General features: G+C 39.2%; 1 protein-coding gene and 1 pseudogene across 8 annotated transcripts in view; one reads left to right on the top strand and one right to left on the bottom strand.

Moving 5' to 3' along the window:
• The window catches only part of FBXO11 (F-box protein 11), a 99,579-nt gene that overhangs the window by 12,935 nt on the left and 69,992 nt on the right, over positions 1-16,652 (top strand). Inside the window, exon 1 of one of the 8 annotated variants that reach the window (NM_025133.4) lies at positions 4,845-4,938. The exons of the other annotated variants lie outside the window; for them this stretch is intronic. The gene's annotated coding sequence lies outside the window, so the exon portion shown is untranslated. Of the gene's footprint in view, positions 1-4,844; positions 4,939-16,652 lie in introns of those variants that run through there. 8 annotated transcript variants of the gene reach the window in all.
• RPS27AP7 (RPS27A pseudogene 7) lies at positions 9,650-10,597 on the bottom strand (annotated as a pseudogene).

Below are 16,652 nucleotides of genomic sequence, written 5' to 3'. Positions count from 1 at the left end.
GCTTCTTGGTTTTATTTTCATTGTCTTCTGGTTTTTAATTTTTCTTCTAACAAGTAGAAATCAACTTTTGTATTGAATAGATTAATAATTTATCTCCTGAGCCACCCCATGTTTTTCTGCCTGAATAAGATACATACATATTTCTAGGGATAGAGATACACAGATCTGTTTATCCTTATATCTCCAGTATGTGTGTATATATATATATATGCACATACACATGTGATTTATATATATTTATAAAACACTGAAGTTTCATGTAGCCTTAGCCGTAGACTGTTTGCAAGACCAGCAGAGTATGTTAAAAGAGTTTTCTGTGAAATGTTAATAAGATAAAGGCTTGTTTTGACCCCCACGGTCTGGTATATGTTCTGCCATTTATTTATTTATTTATTTAATTTATTTTTTTTGAGACAGAGTATCACTGTGTCATCCAGGCTGGAGTGCAGTGGTGCAATGTTGACTCACTACAGCCTCTACTCCTGGGTTCAAGCAGTTCTTGTGCCTCAGCCTCCGGATTAGCTGGGATTACAGGCACGTGCCACCATGCCTGGTTCATTTTTTTGTATTTTTAGTAGAGACAGGGTTTCACCATGTGAACCAGGCTGGTAATTATTTATTGAATTACCTTTGGACCACACTTCAAAAGTTGTTGCAGCCTAGCGATTATGTTATAGCATTTTGATGTAAATGACTTAAAAAAAAACGCCTAGATAAGAAAATTAACTGCAGAGTTGGGGTTATTAATCTTGCTTTTGTGGTATTAGCTTTTTTCATTATATTCATTGTTTTGGCTGTTACATTCATTGTTTTGGCCATGTATCTAGAAATTGAAGGTAGGAGGACAGGTTTAAATTAAATTATATGTTGCTAGAATTTAAGCACCTCAATTGCAGAGATAAAACAACATTTTGTTTCCTCATAAGCATGTTTAATCCCACATAGCAAGCAGTAGTTGTAACTCCCAGGATGCCTTTATGAATCTTTCTGATTCTGCATTGCAGCATGTCAGAGGAAACCTGTACTCTATTTCTGCATCATGTGAGAACCTTGTAGCTGAATATATCTAGAGTTGAAAAACTGAGCTGGAAGATCCGGATGTAGGGAGGTTGATCACAGTATGTAAAGTTAAGTCCCTGGTTTTAGGGGGCTAGGAAAGTGTTACATACCAATCAGTGACATGTGTTAATAACACATGCAATGAAACAGAAAATATACCCTTTCGGGTGAAATATCTAAAAATTTTTGGTGAAATGTTAACTAATATCTTGAGATGGTGGTGGCGAGTTGATTTTTGTTATTCTTTTACATATCTTTGCTTTTCAAATACTGTATATGGAATCTACAGGGAGGGAGGCTTTGTGACATTGTCTTTGGCAGTGATTTCATGGATACAACACCTAAAGGACAGGCAACAAAAGTAAAAATAGACAAGTGAGACATCAAACTATAAAGCTTCTACACAGCAAAGGAAACAGTCAACAAAGTGAAAGGGCATCCTATGAAATGGGAGAAAATATTTGCAAACCATATATCTGATAAGGAGTTAATCTCCAAAATATTTAAGGAACTTCTGCAACTTAGTGGCAGAAAAACTAATAACCTATTTAAAAATGAGCTAAAGACTTCAATAGACATTCTCCAGAGAAGACATACAGATGGCAAGCAAGTATATGGAAAAAGACTCAACATCATTAATCATCAGGGAAATGCAAATAAAAACCACAATGAGATATCTTTTCATCCCTATTAGGATGACTGTTTAAAAAAAACATAGAAGACAAGTGTTGGTGAAGATACGTAGAAATTGAACCCCTTATACACTGTTGGTAGAAATGCAAAATGGTGTAACTATTATGGAAAACAGTGTGGAGGTCCTCAAAAAATTAAAAATAGAACTATCATATGATCCAGCAATTCTTCTTCCAAGTATTTATTCAAAAGAAATGAAATCAGGAACTTGAAGAAATACTAGCACTCCCATGTTTATAATGGCACTATTCACAATAGCCAAGATGTGGAAACAGCCCACAACATGTCCATTGACAGATGAAGAAATAAAGAAAATGTGGTGTATACATGCAATGGAATGTTATTCAGTCTTAAGGAATTCTGCAATGTGCAACATTAATGTAGTTTGAGGACATTATGCTAAATGAAATAAGCCAATCACAGACAAATACTGCATGATTTCACTTAAATGAAGTTATCTGAAATAGTCAAATTTATAGAATCAAAGAGTGGAATCGTGGTTGTCAGGGGTGAAAGGGAGGGGAGGGGGAAATGTGGAGTTACTAGTCAGCAGGCATGAAGTTTCAGTTAAGCAGGATGAATAAGTTCCGCCATACAGTATTGTACCTATAGTCAACAGTACTGTATTGTACACTTAAACATTTGTTAAGAAGGTAGTATTCATGTATGAGAATAAAGTAAAAAGTAATAGTTTTGGCAGTGGCTCATGCCTGTAATCCCAGCATGTTGGGAGGCAGAGGCAGGAGGATCGCTTGAGCCCGGGAGTTTGATACTAGTCTGAGCAACATAGGGAGACTCCATCTCTACAAAAAAAATTAAAAAAAAAAAAATCCCGGTATGGTGGCACATGCCTGTGGTCCCAACTGCTCAGGAGGCTGAGATGGGAGGATCACTTAAGCTCTAGAGGTCAAGGCTGCGGTGAGCTATGATTGCACCACTGCATTCCAGCGTGAGCAATAGAGCAAGACTGTGTCTCAATAATAATAATATTTTTTTTTTTCTTTTTTTTAGACAGGGTCTCGCTCTGTCGCCCAGACTGGAGCACAGTGGCCCAGTCTTGGCTCACTGCAACCTCTGCCTCCCGAGTTCAAGAAGTCTCCTGCCTCAGCCTCCCAAGTAGTTGGGGTTATAGGCGCTTGCCACCATGTCCAGCTGACTTTTTGTATTTTTAGTAGAGATGGGGTTTTGTCATGTTGGCCAGGATGGTCTCAAACTCCTGACCTCAGGTGGTCCACCCACCTCGGCCTCCTGAGTGCTGGGATTACAGGTGTGAGCCACCGTGCCCTGCCAATAATTTTATAATTCTGATTGTGTCGTGAACTCATACTACTTGATTGATGATACAGTCCCCATGTAGGGCATTTTAAATTTGAATAAAAGCTTAAATGTTACATATTTTTAATGTTGGAAGTGTGCTTTAAGTGCTTATTAATTTATAGACATCTATATTTTTATTCACAGCAACTTTAGGATGATAATTGACTATATTATTTCTAGTAAATGAGGATGACTGATAATCAGGAAGTCAGTTCAGAATTAAAATTAGTCCACTCACCATGGCTCATGCCTGCAGTCCTAGCATTTTGGAAGGATGAGGTGAGAGGATCCTTTAAGACCAAGAGTGCAAGACCAGCCTACCAACATACTGAGACCCTGTCTCTGAAATAAATAAATAAATAAATAAATAATAAAAATTAGCCAGGCCTGGTGGCATGTACCTGTAGTCCTAGCTACTCAGGAGACTGAGGCAGTAGGATTGCTTGAGCCCAGGAATTTGATATTTGGGACTCTGAACCAGTGATTCTTTCTTTCCAGGATAAGTTTGCGACTGTAGCATAAAATTCTTTTTGCGTCAGATAATTTGATTATGGTAGTAAATACGTACAAATGTTTTGCTCACAAGCCTGTTGAATGATGGAAGATGAAAAATTTAGTATGCAAATGTACTGGATAATTAGAAAAGAGGAATTTAATGTTGATCACAACAGGTGGCTATTTTTTCTGAAGGTACCCTAGTGGTATGGACTCATGTCTGTTTAATAATTTTATGTGGGGAATATTTTCTTTTCGTAAAACTTGAGTTTACCTGTGAAGAAATTAGTCACTGTCAATTTATTAGGTGTTGAAACAGATTGCTAAGGGAAATAATTTCATCATTATTGGTTAAAAAAAAAAAAACCCTCTCACTTTCTAAGAGGATTTCTAAGAAGAATGTGTTTGGGAATAAGTAATAACCATTTTTTTAAAAATGTAGGACTTTGAAACATGAATTTAGTTCTTAGATTTTTAATTGACTCATCTCACACTCACTTGATAAGTTGTCGGACCATCTTACAGGCTTCTTATAAACCTAAACCAAGAGAAAACAAGTGTTTTCCTGAGAAAGCACACTAGAAAACCTTCATTAAAGAGATCAACTAAATTTTGTTGCTTTTTGTTTTTTAATTGGAAGCTACTGATGTGGTTAAGGAAAAATCAGTAAGTATAGATTCTAGGGAATAGTCTACATGGTTCTATGAAGAGCCAATCACAGATTTATTTAATGTATTTCTCTGAAACAGTGGCTTTTAGTAGCTGAAGAAGGAAGAAAAGCAACATAACCGGATTTAAACAAAGCTTTTGTTTTTTCATGAAGCAGTCATATTGGTGTTATGTCAGTTGGGGGAGATTTTAGAAAGTTATGTTATGGAAACTGTAACTTATAAAAAAATACTGCTAACTTATAAAAAAAAGTACTGCTAGCCATTTGCACATAGACACTTAGTGAATGAATGTTTCTGTTTTCCTTCATCTTCTCTAGTCCAAGGTGTGTTCATATAATTACCTAATTTACATTATTGAGCATATTAAATATGTTCATAGATGATTAAAAACTGGGTGCGATTAAGTACTCAACCAAGAACAAATCAAATTACTTTGAATAACCTGTTTTTAAAAAAGCAGATGTGTTTTAATCTGTGTGGACAGAAAAAAAATGAGCAGACTCTTTGAACTGTCTAGCTAGAACCAAATATAGCAGATAGGGGCTACAGTTGAGGTTCTGAAGTGTGTGTGGTTTGGGTGCTTGGGTGTGTATAAACACATGATACTGTATCATAGCAATAAGATTTGTAAAACATTGCAATGGCTGAAAAACTGTCTAACAGGAAATTTTAAGTGTTATTCCAAAGAAGAACAAGCCTAAAAGTAAGTTAACCTTTCAGAGTGGTTGAAAGTAATTTTTAAAAGAAAAAGGTTGCTCAGCTATTTTTTTCCTATTATATACTCAGAAGATAGCTAAAGAAAATGAATTTAAATTATTAGACTGACATAAAGAACATCTGGTAAATTCTAAAATGGTCCACTAAAGAAGATTACATCCTTTCTTTTTTGGTGTCAGCTTAGTTTAGATACTTTAAAATTATCTTGGAGATGGTAAATTAGTCAGGAATGGTATTATAGAATGTTTGAAATAGAAGGAACCACTGTCCCAATTCTTGAGGTTTGTTCAGAGTGATGTTTGGATTTAGAGCCCAAGTCTCCAGATTCCCAGTCAGTAATGATAATGTTACCTGTTCTGGTTCCAAAATTGTATCATCATTCTAGTCATTTTTCATTTTAATGAGTTGTTGGACCTACTGATCTGTTTATGGTTACAAGGGGTAGATGGGAGCATGGAATACTCTCTCAGAAGAAATGTGTAAGTGCGAAGTGAGCGGTGTAGATCATGAGTGCCTGGCACCCTAGAAATCCTTAAGTGAATTAAAGAATACATACATATATATATATCTTTCATTTTTTAGGGATTTTTTTTTTCAGACAAGGTTTCACTCTCTCACCCAGCAGGAACACAGTGGCACAGTCACTACTCTCTGCAGCCTCGAACTGCTAGGCTCAAGAGATCATTCTGCCTCACCTCTGCGCCAGTAGCTAGGACTACAGGTGTGTCCCTCCAAGCCCGCTAATGGGTTTTTTTGAGACAGAATCTCAGTCATTCAGGCTGGAATGCAATAGCACAATCTCGGCTCATTGCAGCCTCTGCCTCCCAGGCTCAAGTGATCCTCCTGCCTCAGTCCCCCAAGTAGCTGGGACTACAGGCGTGTGCCACCATGCCCGGCTAATTTTTGTATTTTTTGTAAAGACGAGATTTCACCATGTTGCCCAGAATGGCCTTGAACTCCTGGGCTCCAGCAGTTCGCCCACCTCAGCCTCACAAAGTACTGGGATTACAAGCATGAGCCACCATGCCTGGCCCCACAAAGTGTTTTGTAGAGACAGGGTCTTGTTTTGTCTCCTAGGTTGGTCTTGAACTCTTCACCTTAAGCGATCCTCCCACCTCAGCCTCACAAAGTGCTGGGATTACAGGTATAAGCCACTGGCACGGGACATAGAATTTAAGGGGGAAAGTCAGTTATTTTGTTTTCCCTGTTCTTTCATTCCCAGAGGTAGCTCTTAACTGTTCTTTTGTGTTGGTTCTTTTGAAAAGAAAAAAAAAAAAAATTCGAGATAGGGTCTTGTCTCCCCCCTCCCCCCCACCTTTTTTTTTTGAAACGGAGTTTCGCTCTTGTTGCCCAGGCTGGAGTGCGATGGCACAATCTCAGCTCACCGCAACCTCCACCTCCTGGGCTGAAGTGATTATCTTGCCTCAGCCTCCCGAGTAGCTGGGATTACAGGTATGCGCCACCATGCCCATCTAAGTTTGTATTTTTAGTAGAGATGGGGTTTCTCCATGTTGGTCAGGCAGGTCTTGAACTCCCAATCTCGGATGATCTGCCCACCTCAGTCTCCAAAAGTGCTGGGATTACAGGCATGAGCCACGGTGTCTGCCCTGTCGCTCTTTTACCCAGACTAGAGTGTAATGGCTTGATCACAGCTTAGTGTAGCCTCAACCTCTGCCTCTCGATTAGCTGGAACCACAGGCATGTGCCACTATGCTCAGTTAATTTTTAATTTTTTTTTTGGTAGAGACAGGGGTCTCATTGTGTTGCACAGGCTTTTTCAATTTTTTAAATGCATGTGTATATAAACACTTTTTTTCATTAAAAACAAACCGTACTGTGTGTATTATTTTGTAACCTAAGTTTCATGTTTTGCTTAAAGATATCCTGGGCATTTTTCTGTATCAGTATAAATAGAGGATTACCTCATTCTTTTTTACAGTTGCAGAGTAGTCCCCTTACATGAATGTACCACAATGTATTAAATATTTATCTGTTAACATTTAAATTCTTGTATGCTATTAAAGAACTGCAGCAAACAACCCTATACAAATATCTTTACATGTTTATATCACAATTTTAGTAGAAAGATTCACTTTTTTTTTTTTTTTTTGAGAGTCTCGCTCTGTCTCCCATGCTGGAGTGCAGTGGCGCGATCTCAGCTCACTGCAACCTCCACCTCCCGGGTTCAAGCGATTCTCCTGCCTCAGCCTCCTGAGTAGCTGGGATTACAGGCACACGCCACCATGCCCTGCTAATTTTTGCATTTTTAGTAGAGACGGGAGTTTCACCATGTTGGTCAGGCTGGTCTTGAACTCCTGACCTTGTGATCTGCCTGCCTCGGCCTCCCAAAGTGCTGGGATTACAGCGTGAGGCACCGTGCCTGGCGAAAGGTTCACTTTTTAAAAGTGGGTTATTGGGTCAAAGGGTTTTTCTGTTTTTAAGCTTTATTGAATTATAATTAATATATTTTAAAATGCCCATGTTTGATTATACATTTTGATGATTCGGAGGGATATTTGCATTTTAAAGTTTGGTAAATGTTGCCAAATTTGTTTTTAAAAAGAAGGTTGCATAATTTATAATCCCATCATTAATGCATGAGGTTAAGTATTGAATGAATGAATACATGAGATACTTGAGAGTAAAGAGGCAACTAGTGTTAGGGTTGAAATGGTTTGGAAGGACTGTTCAGAGATAGTGGGGGTACTTAAACTATACCTTGAGGAATGAGTATCCACAGATAGAGGAAAGGAGGGGGAAAAGGATATTCTTAGTGAGAGAGAATGGGCCAAAGGCCATAGAAGATTTATCAGGACAGAATTTTACTTTGTTGTCATACTCCTTTCGTCTCTTGGTTCACTTTATGTTGGCATTTTTTTGGTGGGGGGAAGAGGAACTAGGCACTCTCTTCAAGGCTTTACTCTACCACCTGTGGAACAATCTTTTCCAAGTCTTGTATGCTTTGGCTGTTTTTCTTTTACAAAATTCTTCCTTAGACAAACTCATGTACACATTGTTCTTTTTTTTTTCTTTTTTTGAGACTGAGTCTCCCTATGTTGCCCAGGCTGGAGTGCAGTGGTGTGAGCTCGGCTCACTGCAGCCTCCACCTCCTGGGTTCAAGTGTTTCTCGTGCCTCAGCCTCCCGAGTAGCTGGGATTACAGGCATACACCACCACGCCCTTGGTAGAGACAGGGTTTGCCATGTTGGCCAGACTGGTCTCGAACTCCTGACCTCAATGATTTACTCACCTCGGCCTCCCAAAGTGCTGGGATTACAGGCGTGAGCCACCGCACCTGGCTTACACATTGTTCTTGAGTGAGCCATATGCCGTACTACTGCAGTTTTCTTTTTTTTGACACTGTAGTAAAGTTGTGAACTCAGTGGTTGCTTGACTTCAGTATTCGATCACTTCCTTTTATGTGTCTTATGTCTTCTTGATGGCTTTTCCATATCTCAGCCTCAGGTGTTTGCTGTCATTTACAGTTGTTGTTAGGCCCATTTATGCTTAATGAAGAATTACCAGTTAATATTTATTTGATAATGTTTTACATAGTAAGTTCATCTTATTCACTGTCCTGAATGCTTTCTTTATAATACTGTTTGGTAATGAAGTTGCTATATTCTTACCAGAATGTATTTCCTCATTAATAGATGTCTGATATCAGTATATGGACTTATGATGCGCAATAGAAATGATGTATAATTAATATATTATGCATAACAAGAACCTGTTTTACAGTAAACTTCTGTTTACTGAATTTAATTCACAAGAGTTAGTAATTGGCAACCTTAGGATTAGAATCCGTGTTTTTCTGATTAAACAGCCAGAATGAAGTTTTAATTACTAAATTATAATGCATCAATAATCATCTCCCATGTAAAAGCTTTTAAAAAATACTTCAAAAATACCTGAAGTTACACTGTAAGGAACAGCCATCAGGATGGTGCTGTGAGTTTCAGCATTGAGATTCTCTGTCTCTTCAAAGACAGCAATGATAAACATACACACAATTAATAATCATACTTTCCGAATGAATGTAGATGCATAAATCTGCATCTTCTCTAGAAATCATAAAGAGGAAAAATGCATCAACCTCTGTTTTCAGTGAACTGAAAGACATATGTAAACTCCAGATTATGTTATTTGAGGGCTATCAAAAACATCCGAAAGGGACAGAAGCTATTAGTTTAAATATACTTACTGACAGTAAGGGGTTCATGTTGAAGTTCAAAAGGTAAATCTCTTGTTTGTAATGACGGGAGTTGGTGGCGAAGTACCTGATTATATTCAGAAAAGAGAAAGTAGAGCTGTACACATGTGCACACAGAGCCACATGTACAGGAACCAGCTTTTCTCTGTATTTTTAAATAATTTTTATTTATTTATTTCTTGAGACGGAGTCTTGCTCTGTCACCCAGGCTGGAGTGCAATGGCACAATCTCGGCTCACTGAAACCTCTGCCTCCCGGGTTCAAGTGATTCTGCTGCCTCAGCCTCCCAAGTAGCTGGGATTATAGGTATGCATCACAGGCCCGGCTAACTTTTTTATTTTTAGTAGAGATGGGGTTTCACCACGTTGGCCAGGCTGGTCCAACTCCTGACCTCAGGTGATCCACCCACCTCGGCCTCCCAAAGTGCTGGGATTACAGGCGTGAGCTCCTGCGCCCAGCCAAAAAATTTATTAATTCATACACAATTACTTGTCTTCTGGTTTGTTGAAGCAATAAGCCAGACATTTGCCACAATAATATCTGTCAAAGTGGCTTGCTGTAAACACTGCAGCACCACATTCATCTGAAGGGCACTCCCGACTAAGGCGACTAATTTTACCATTCTCATACACCTTATGGTATTTAAGGACAGCCAACTTAACCTTCTTTCTCTCGTGCTTATTCTTCTTGGGAGTTGTATAAGAATTCTTCCTTGATAACATCACAAAGTCTCAACACAAGATGAAGAGTAGACTCCTTTTGAATGTTGTAGTTAGATAAAGTACGTTCATCTTCCAGTTGCTTGCCATCAAACATCAGTGTTTGCCGATCCAGACGAATTTCTTCCTTATCCTGGATCTTGGCCTTTACATTTTCTGTTGTATCCAAGGGTTCAATCTGGAGGGTGATGGTCTTCCCCATAAGGGTTTTTACAAAAATCTGCATTTTGGTGGCGGCTCTGAGGTTGAGTGAAATAAAGAGATGAGTTAGATTAGGGGATACAGGAGAAGGCAATGCACAGGGCACTGGTCGCAGGGCAGCAGAAGAGCACACACTCCCTTTATTATTTAAAGCGTCAAAGGAGTAGAGAGTCTTTGGACTGTGAAGCCTGTTATTTCCTTCCTTTCCCACTCCCAGGAATCTATGTAAATAGCTGCTTCAGGAAAATTCAGTTTATTCTGTTACGCAAAATAAAAAAGAAGCTGATATGGCAGCAAAACTTCCCAAACACAAAGAACAGTCATTAGTGAAGTGTTGCTACAGAACAGATGAAAATTGTGACCCAGCATTTCACCATCTATTTTTTAGACTTGAGTAAAGCTTGTAAATAGTTCTACAAGAGAAGATTACAAAGCAGGAATGGTAAGAACTCAGAAAAGAGATGGCAGGGCAACAGGAGGACATAAAATGTGAGTTGAGGGAACTTGGGAAAGAAGTAGAAGAAAGCAAATGGCTGGGCATGGGGACTCACGCCTGTAATCCCAGCACTTTGGGAGGCTGAGACAGGGAGATCGCTTGAGCTCAGGAGTTTGAGACCAGCCTAGACAACATGGCAAAACCTGTCTCTAAAAAAGTACAAAATTAGCCGGGTGTGGTGGCTTACGTCTGTAGTCCCAGCTACTTGGGAGTCTGAGGTGGGAAGATGGCTTGAGCCAAGCAGGCAGAGATTGCAATAAGCCAAAATTGCCCCACTGCACTTGAGCCTGGGCAACAGAGGGGAGACCCTGTCTCAAAAAATAGTACAGAAATACAGATGAAATAAGAAGGAGCACAAGAAGCAGACTAGCCCCAAGGAAAACATAATAAGAGACACAGGGATTTTAAAAAATGGAAATAAAGATTTTATTTTTTTAAGTTTTAGAAAATACAGTAGATCCAACAAACTTAGAATTGAAACCCCTATAGAAGAAAACCAAAACATGACAGTAGAACAAGTGGTTAAAAACACAATTGAAGAAAAACTAGCTGAGATGAAACTTACGTATTGAAAGGGCATCTGTGGCAGGGAAAACTGACCAGAAAGATCTTAAAGATTCCTTTCAATAGCCAGAAACCTTCCTAACTACCCCACTCCAAGTTGTTTATAAGACATTGAAATCTGGCTGGCCTTAGAATTCTCCACAACATTCAACCCCAGTCGAACAACATTTATAAGATAAGAAAGTAAAGTGCGAGCTAAAGATTTTATATCCAGTCACATTGTTCTTAAGGAACAAATAGTACTCAGAGAATATTGTTTATGTGAGCCCTTCTTGAGGAAAATAGTAGAGTATAAACTTCAGCTGATAGACATGGGGAAATGATTGGTGTGTAAGCAGTGAATTTATATATAGACATAAAGACTAAAATGTGGGCTGGGCGTGGTGACTCACATCTGTAATCCCAGCACTTTGGGAGGCCAAAATAGGCAGATCACTTGAGGCCAGGAGTTCAAGACCAGCCTGGCCATCATGGTGAAACCCTGTCTCTACCAAAAATATAAAAATTAGCTGGGCATGGTGGTGCACACCTGTAGTCCCAGCTACTTGGGAGGCTGAGGCACGAGAATCACTTGAACCTGGGAGGTAGATGGTTGCAGTGAGAGATTATGCATGCCACTGCACTCCAGCCTGGGTGATAGAGCGAGACTCTGTCTCAAAAAAAAAGACTAAAATGTGGAGATCATAACGACAGAATATAATGTTAATATTGTATACCCTGATGATATACAAATGATCAAACTAATAAAATTTGAGAGAAGGAATTGCCCTATGGTAATAACTGGTATTGAAAAAGATGTTTAAACATCACAGATCAAATAATAGAAATATAAACATATTCAGCACTTTAAAAGAAACATTAAAATAAAACTAAAACACTAAAGATAATGCTATTAGTTTCAATACTATTGATTAAATAGGGTAATGGGAGAGGAGGCGTGCTAATTTTAACATTACTCATGTTGAGGAACTAATAGGTATTGTCTAAAGAGATAGAAATTACAAAGGTAACCATTAGAACAAAGCTATAAACCTTCCTAGATATTGAAAGAACTACAAACCAGTTAAAAATAAAACATCATTTAGTGAAAAAAAATTCTTATATAACCACATACATAACAAGACAGCCCTAAGACCAGACATACCTTTCTTTGTTTCTTTCTTTTTTTGAGACAGAGTCTCGTTGTGTCACCCAGGCTGGAGGACAGTGGCGCAATCTTGGCTCACTGCAACCTCCGACTCCCGGGTTCAAGTGATTCTACTGCGTCAGCCTCCCAAGTAACTGGGACTGCAGGCACCCGCCACTAAGCCCGGCTAATTTTTGTATTTTTAGTAGAGACGGGTTTCACCATGTTGGCCAGGCTTGACTTGAACTCCTGACTTTGTGATCTGCCCACCTCAGCCTCCCAAAGTGCTGGGATTACAGGTGTGAGTCACCATGCCCGGCCCAAACATGCCTTTCTTAAAAAAGATATTAATATGCTTAACTCACCTTTAGAAGGAAAATATTTTTAGCTTAGATTCAAGGCAAAACCCACTCTCTGGTTTATACAAGGTACACACCTAAGGCAGTGATTGTGAAAGACTGGTATTTTAAAAGATAGAGAAAAGGTATAAGATACAAATGCAAATGAAAATAATTTAGGAGTGTCATGATTTTAACATACCAGGTGGAGTTCATACTAAAAAACAATAAAGAGTGGCACTTATTTCTTAAAGGATACAATGAAAATTTAATAGTTGTGAATAGCAATATGTCAGATAACATAGCAAACTTGGTGAAGCAGAAATAACCAAAAATACAAGGAGAAATGGAAATACATTCATAGCAGGAAATGTTTATGTGAAAGACGCCAAACAAGCTTCAACAAATGAAACAACACAATGTTTTTTAATTTTATAAATTAAAACACTGGACATTCTGATTCCACAGTTCATAAGGAAAAGTAAACAAGAAAGGAGCCAGGAAAACTGAAAAAATGAAATTGGATGTTTTTCACATAAATACCAAACAGATCAATGAATAAAATAAAGCCATGAAAATACTAAAAGTAGAAGTCTTCTTATAATTTTAGTATGGGGAAGACCTTTTATACTGATTCAATCCAGAAGTCATGAAATAAATGATAAATTCTATTACATTAAAACACTCTCAGGGCACTCTGGGAGGCCAAGTTGGGTGGATTGCCTGAGCCAAGGAGTTTGAGACCAGCCTGGCAGCATGACAAAACCCTGACTCTACCAAAAATACAAAAAAATTAGCTGGACATGATGGCATGTGCCTGTGGTCCCAGCAACTCGGGAGGCTGTGGTGGGAGAATCTCTCGAGCCTGGAAGGTGGAGGCTGCAGTAAACCGAGATTGCACCACTACACTCCAACCTGGGTGACAGAGTGAGACCCCGTTTCCAAAAAAAAAAAACCTTCTCTGAATGGATAAAGAAAATGTATATACATACAATGAAATATTATTCAAACTTTAGAAAGGAAATTTTGTTGTGTGATACAACCGTAGATGAACCTTGAGGAATTACACTAAGTGAAAGCCAGTCACAAAAAGACAAATACTGCATGACCCCACTTATATGAGATATCTAAAGTAGTCAAACCCTTAGAAACAAAGTAGAGTGGTGGTAGCTAGGGGAAGGGGAAAAAGGGAATTGTTCAGTGGATATAGAGTTTCAGCAAAACTGGTAAAACTTATTTGCAGCCAAAACTTATTTACAGTTAGGAATTAGCAAAACTTATTGGTAATTTTAATCATAGACAGAGGGTAGCCTTCCTGATATACATGCAGTAAGTACTTGGAAACTTGATAACAAAAAGATCTTGCAACCCCATAAAAACCGAGCAAAGATATGAATCGATAATTCACAGAAAATTAAATATAAGTGGCTTTTAAGCTAATGAGGCCAGTACCTCATTCACAGTAAGAGAAGTTAAAACTACAATGATTATAGTTCCCTTATTAGGCAAAAACAAAAGTTGGGCAGCATACTCCATTGGTTGTGAAGCTTTGGGGGAAAAGCTGCTCATACACTGCTATTGAGAATACAAATTGAGATAATCCCTGTGGAAGGCAATTGGTCAATATCTGCCAGAGTAAAAATGTATTTACCCAGCAGGTTGAGTTTTCTGAAATTTATCTTATACTTTACACCACATGATACATGTATCAGATTATTCTGTAATAGCAGAAGGTGAGAAACAATCCAGATGTCCATCAGTAGGGGATTAGTCAAAGAAATTATGGAAAAACCATATAATGGAATACCATGCAGCTGTAAGAAAAAGGCAAAATTCTGGGGCTGCATAATTTATATTCATATTTTTTTTACACTCACAAACTTGGAAAGGATGGACAAGGAAATCTTAACATGCGTTACCTGGAGAAAGGGGAGAGGAACTGAATACGTGGAAAGATTGGGAGGGAGGCTTTTTTGTTTTGTTTTGTTTTGAGACAGAGTTTCGCTTGGAGTGCAGTGGCGTGATCTCAGCTCACTACAATGTCTGCCTCCCCAATTCAAGTGATTCTCCTGCCTCAGCCTCTCGAGTAGCCGGGATTACAGGCATCCCACCACGCCAGGCTAATTTCTGTATTTTTAGTAGGAATGGGGTTTCACCATGTTGTTGGCCAGGCTGGTCTCGAACTCCTGACCTCAGGTGATCTGCCTGTCTCTGTCTCCCAAAATGCTGGGATTACAGGCATGAGCCACCGCACCTGGCTGAGACCTTTCATTCCTTTAAAAAAAAAAAAAAAATGCTGGACGCAGTGGCTCACACCTGTAATCCCAGCACTTTGGGAGGCCGAGGTGGGCAGATTGAGGAGTTCGAGGTCAGGAGTTCAAGACCAACCTGGCCAACATGGTGAAACCCCATCTCTACTGAAAATACAAAAATTAGCCCGGCATAGTGGCAGGCACCTGTAATCCCAGCTACTCGGGAGGCTGAGGCAGGAGAATTGCTTGAACCCAGAGGTGGAGGTTGCAGTCAGCTGAGATCGTGCTACTGCACTCCAGCCTGGGTGACAGAGTGAGACTCTGTCTTAAAAAAAGAAAAAAAAAAGAACAAAAGGCAAGGTGTTAAATAGAGACTAAATACATGAATCTATCAAAATCTGTTTTGCAGGCAGGAAGATGCCTCTGAGAGGTCGTCTGCAGAATAGAGACCAAAACTCTACTGTATATTGGTAGACAGATTGGAGCAGGGAGATGAACAGCCTGTTTTTATTACCCCAGAAACTAAAGGGCTGAATCAGGAAAAAACTGAAAAAGAATGTATGATTGTTGCTTAGGGATATGGCTTATATAAATTGCAGGTCCAGAGTGCTGGAAGGAAGCAGTGACAGCCTCCTGGGTAAAAGCTGGGCCTACCTGCCCATGACTTAGGGACTGGATCTTCAGGAGGAGACATATGCAGCAATTATAAGACCTCATTCTGGGCCAGGCACGGTGGCTCACGCCTGTAATCCCAGCACTTTGGGAGGCCGAGGCAGGCGGATGATGAGGTCAGGAGTTTGAGACCAGCCTGATCAACATGGTAAAACCCCATCTCTACTAAAAATACAAAAATTAGCTGGGCGTGTTGGCACGCGCCTGTAATCCCAGCTAGTTGGGAGGCTGAAGCAGGAGAATCGCTTGAACCTGGGAGTCGGAGGTTGCAGTGAGCCAAGATCGCACCACTGCATTCCAGCCTGGGCGACAAAGCGAGACTCCATCTCAAAAACAAAACAAAACGAAACGAAAAACCTTATTCTGGGGTGGGAGGTTTGAGTGAGAGATGGAGAAAATGAAAAATCGTTAGGGTAAGGTAAGCACACAAAGATACACACACACCATGCAACTTAGAGTTACAATGAACCTGCCAAACAAAAATTCGAAAATACAGAAGAAAAACTAAACCTAAAATAACCAAGTCAACACCTTCATCAGAGGGAAAAGAGAATGTTTTCTGTGTACTGATACAGAAATATCTCCTAAGTTTTGTTGCTTAGTGGGAAAAAATGGGAATCATGAAACAGTATTTATAGTATGTTTTCTTTTTTGCAGGAGTGGGAATAATTGATATTCAAGTGAATCCTTAGTCTATAGGTGTAAATAATAGAACAATTTTAAAGTGTATGTTTAAGATCCTCAGGGAGGTAAAGGAAGGAATAATTGCCATAAAAGAACCAAAATTACCAGTGTGGGCAACATAGCAAAACCTCATCTCTACAAAAAATAGAAAAATTAGCTGGGTGTGGTGCTGCACACCTGTGGTCCCATGCTACTGAGGAGGCTGAGGTGGGAGGATCGCTTAAGCCCAGGAGGTTGAGGCTGCAGTGAGCCATGATTGCACTACAGCCAGGGCAACAGAGCAAGACCCTCTCAAAAAAAAAAAACCCTGTATTAAGTAAGATGTCATTAGATGTGTACTAGACTGAACATGGTCAATGAAACAGTGATTTGGAAAATAGTATTAAGGAATTCACCCAGAATGTAGTAAGAGAGAAGTGGAAAAAAAAAAATGAAT

The sequence above is a fragment of the Homo sapiens genome, chromosome 2, assembly GCF_000001405.40.
Source record: "Homo sapiens chromosome 2, GRCh38.p14 Primary Assembly".
In the NCBI taxonomy this organism is placed as follows: domain Eukaryota; kingdom Metazoa; phylum Chordata; class Mammalia; order Primates; family Hominidae; genus Homo; species Homo sapiens.
This window is presented reverse-complemented; position numbering and strand designations above follow the sequence as displayed.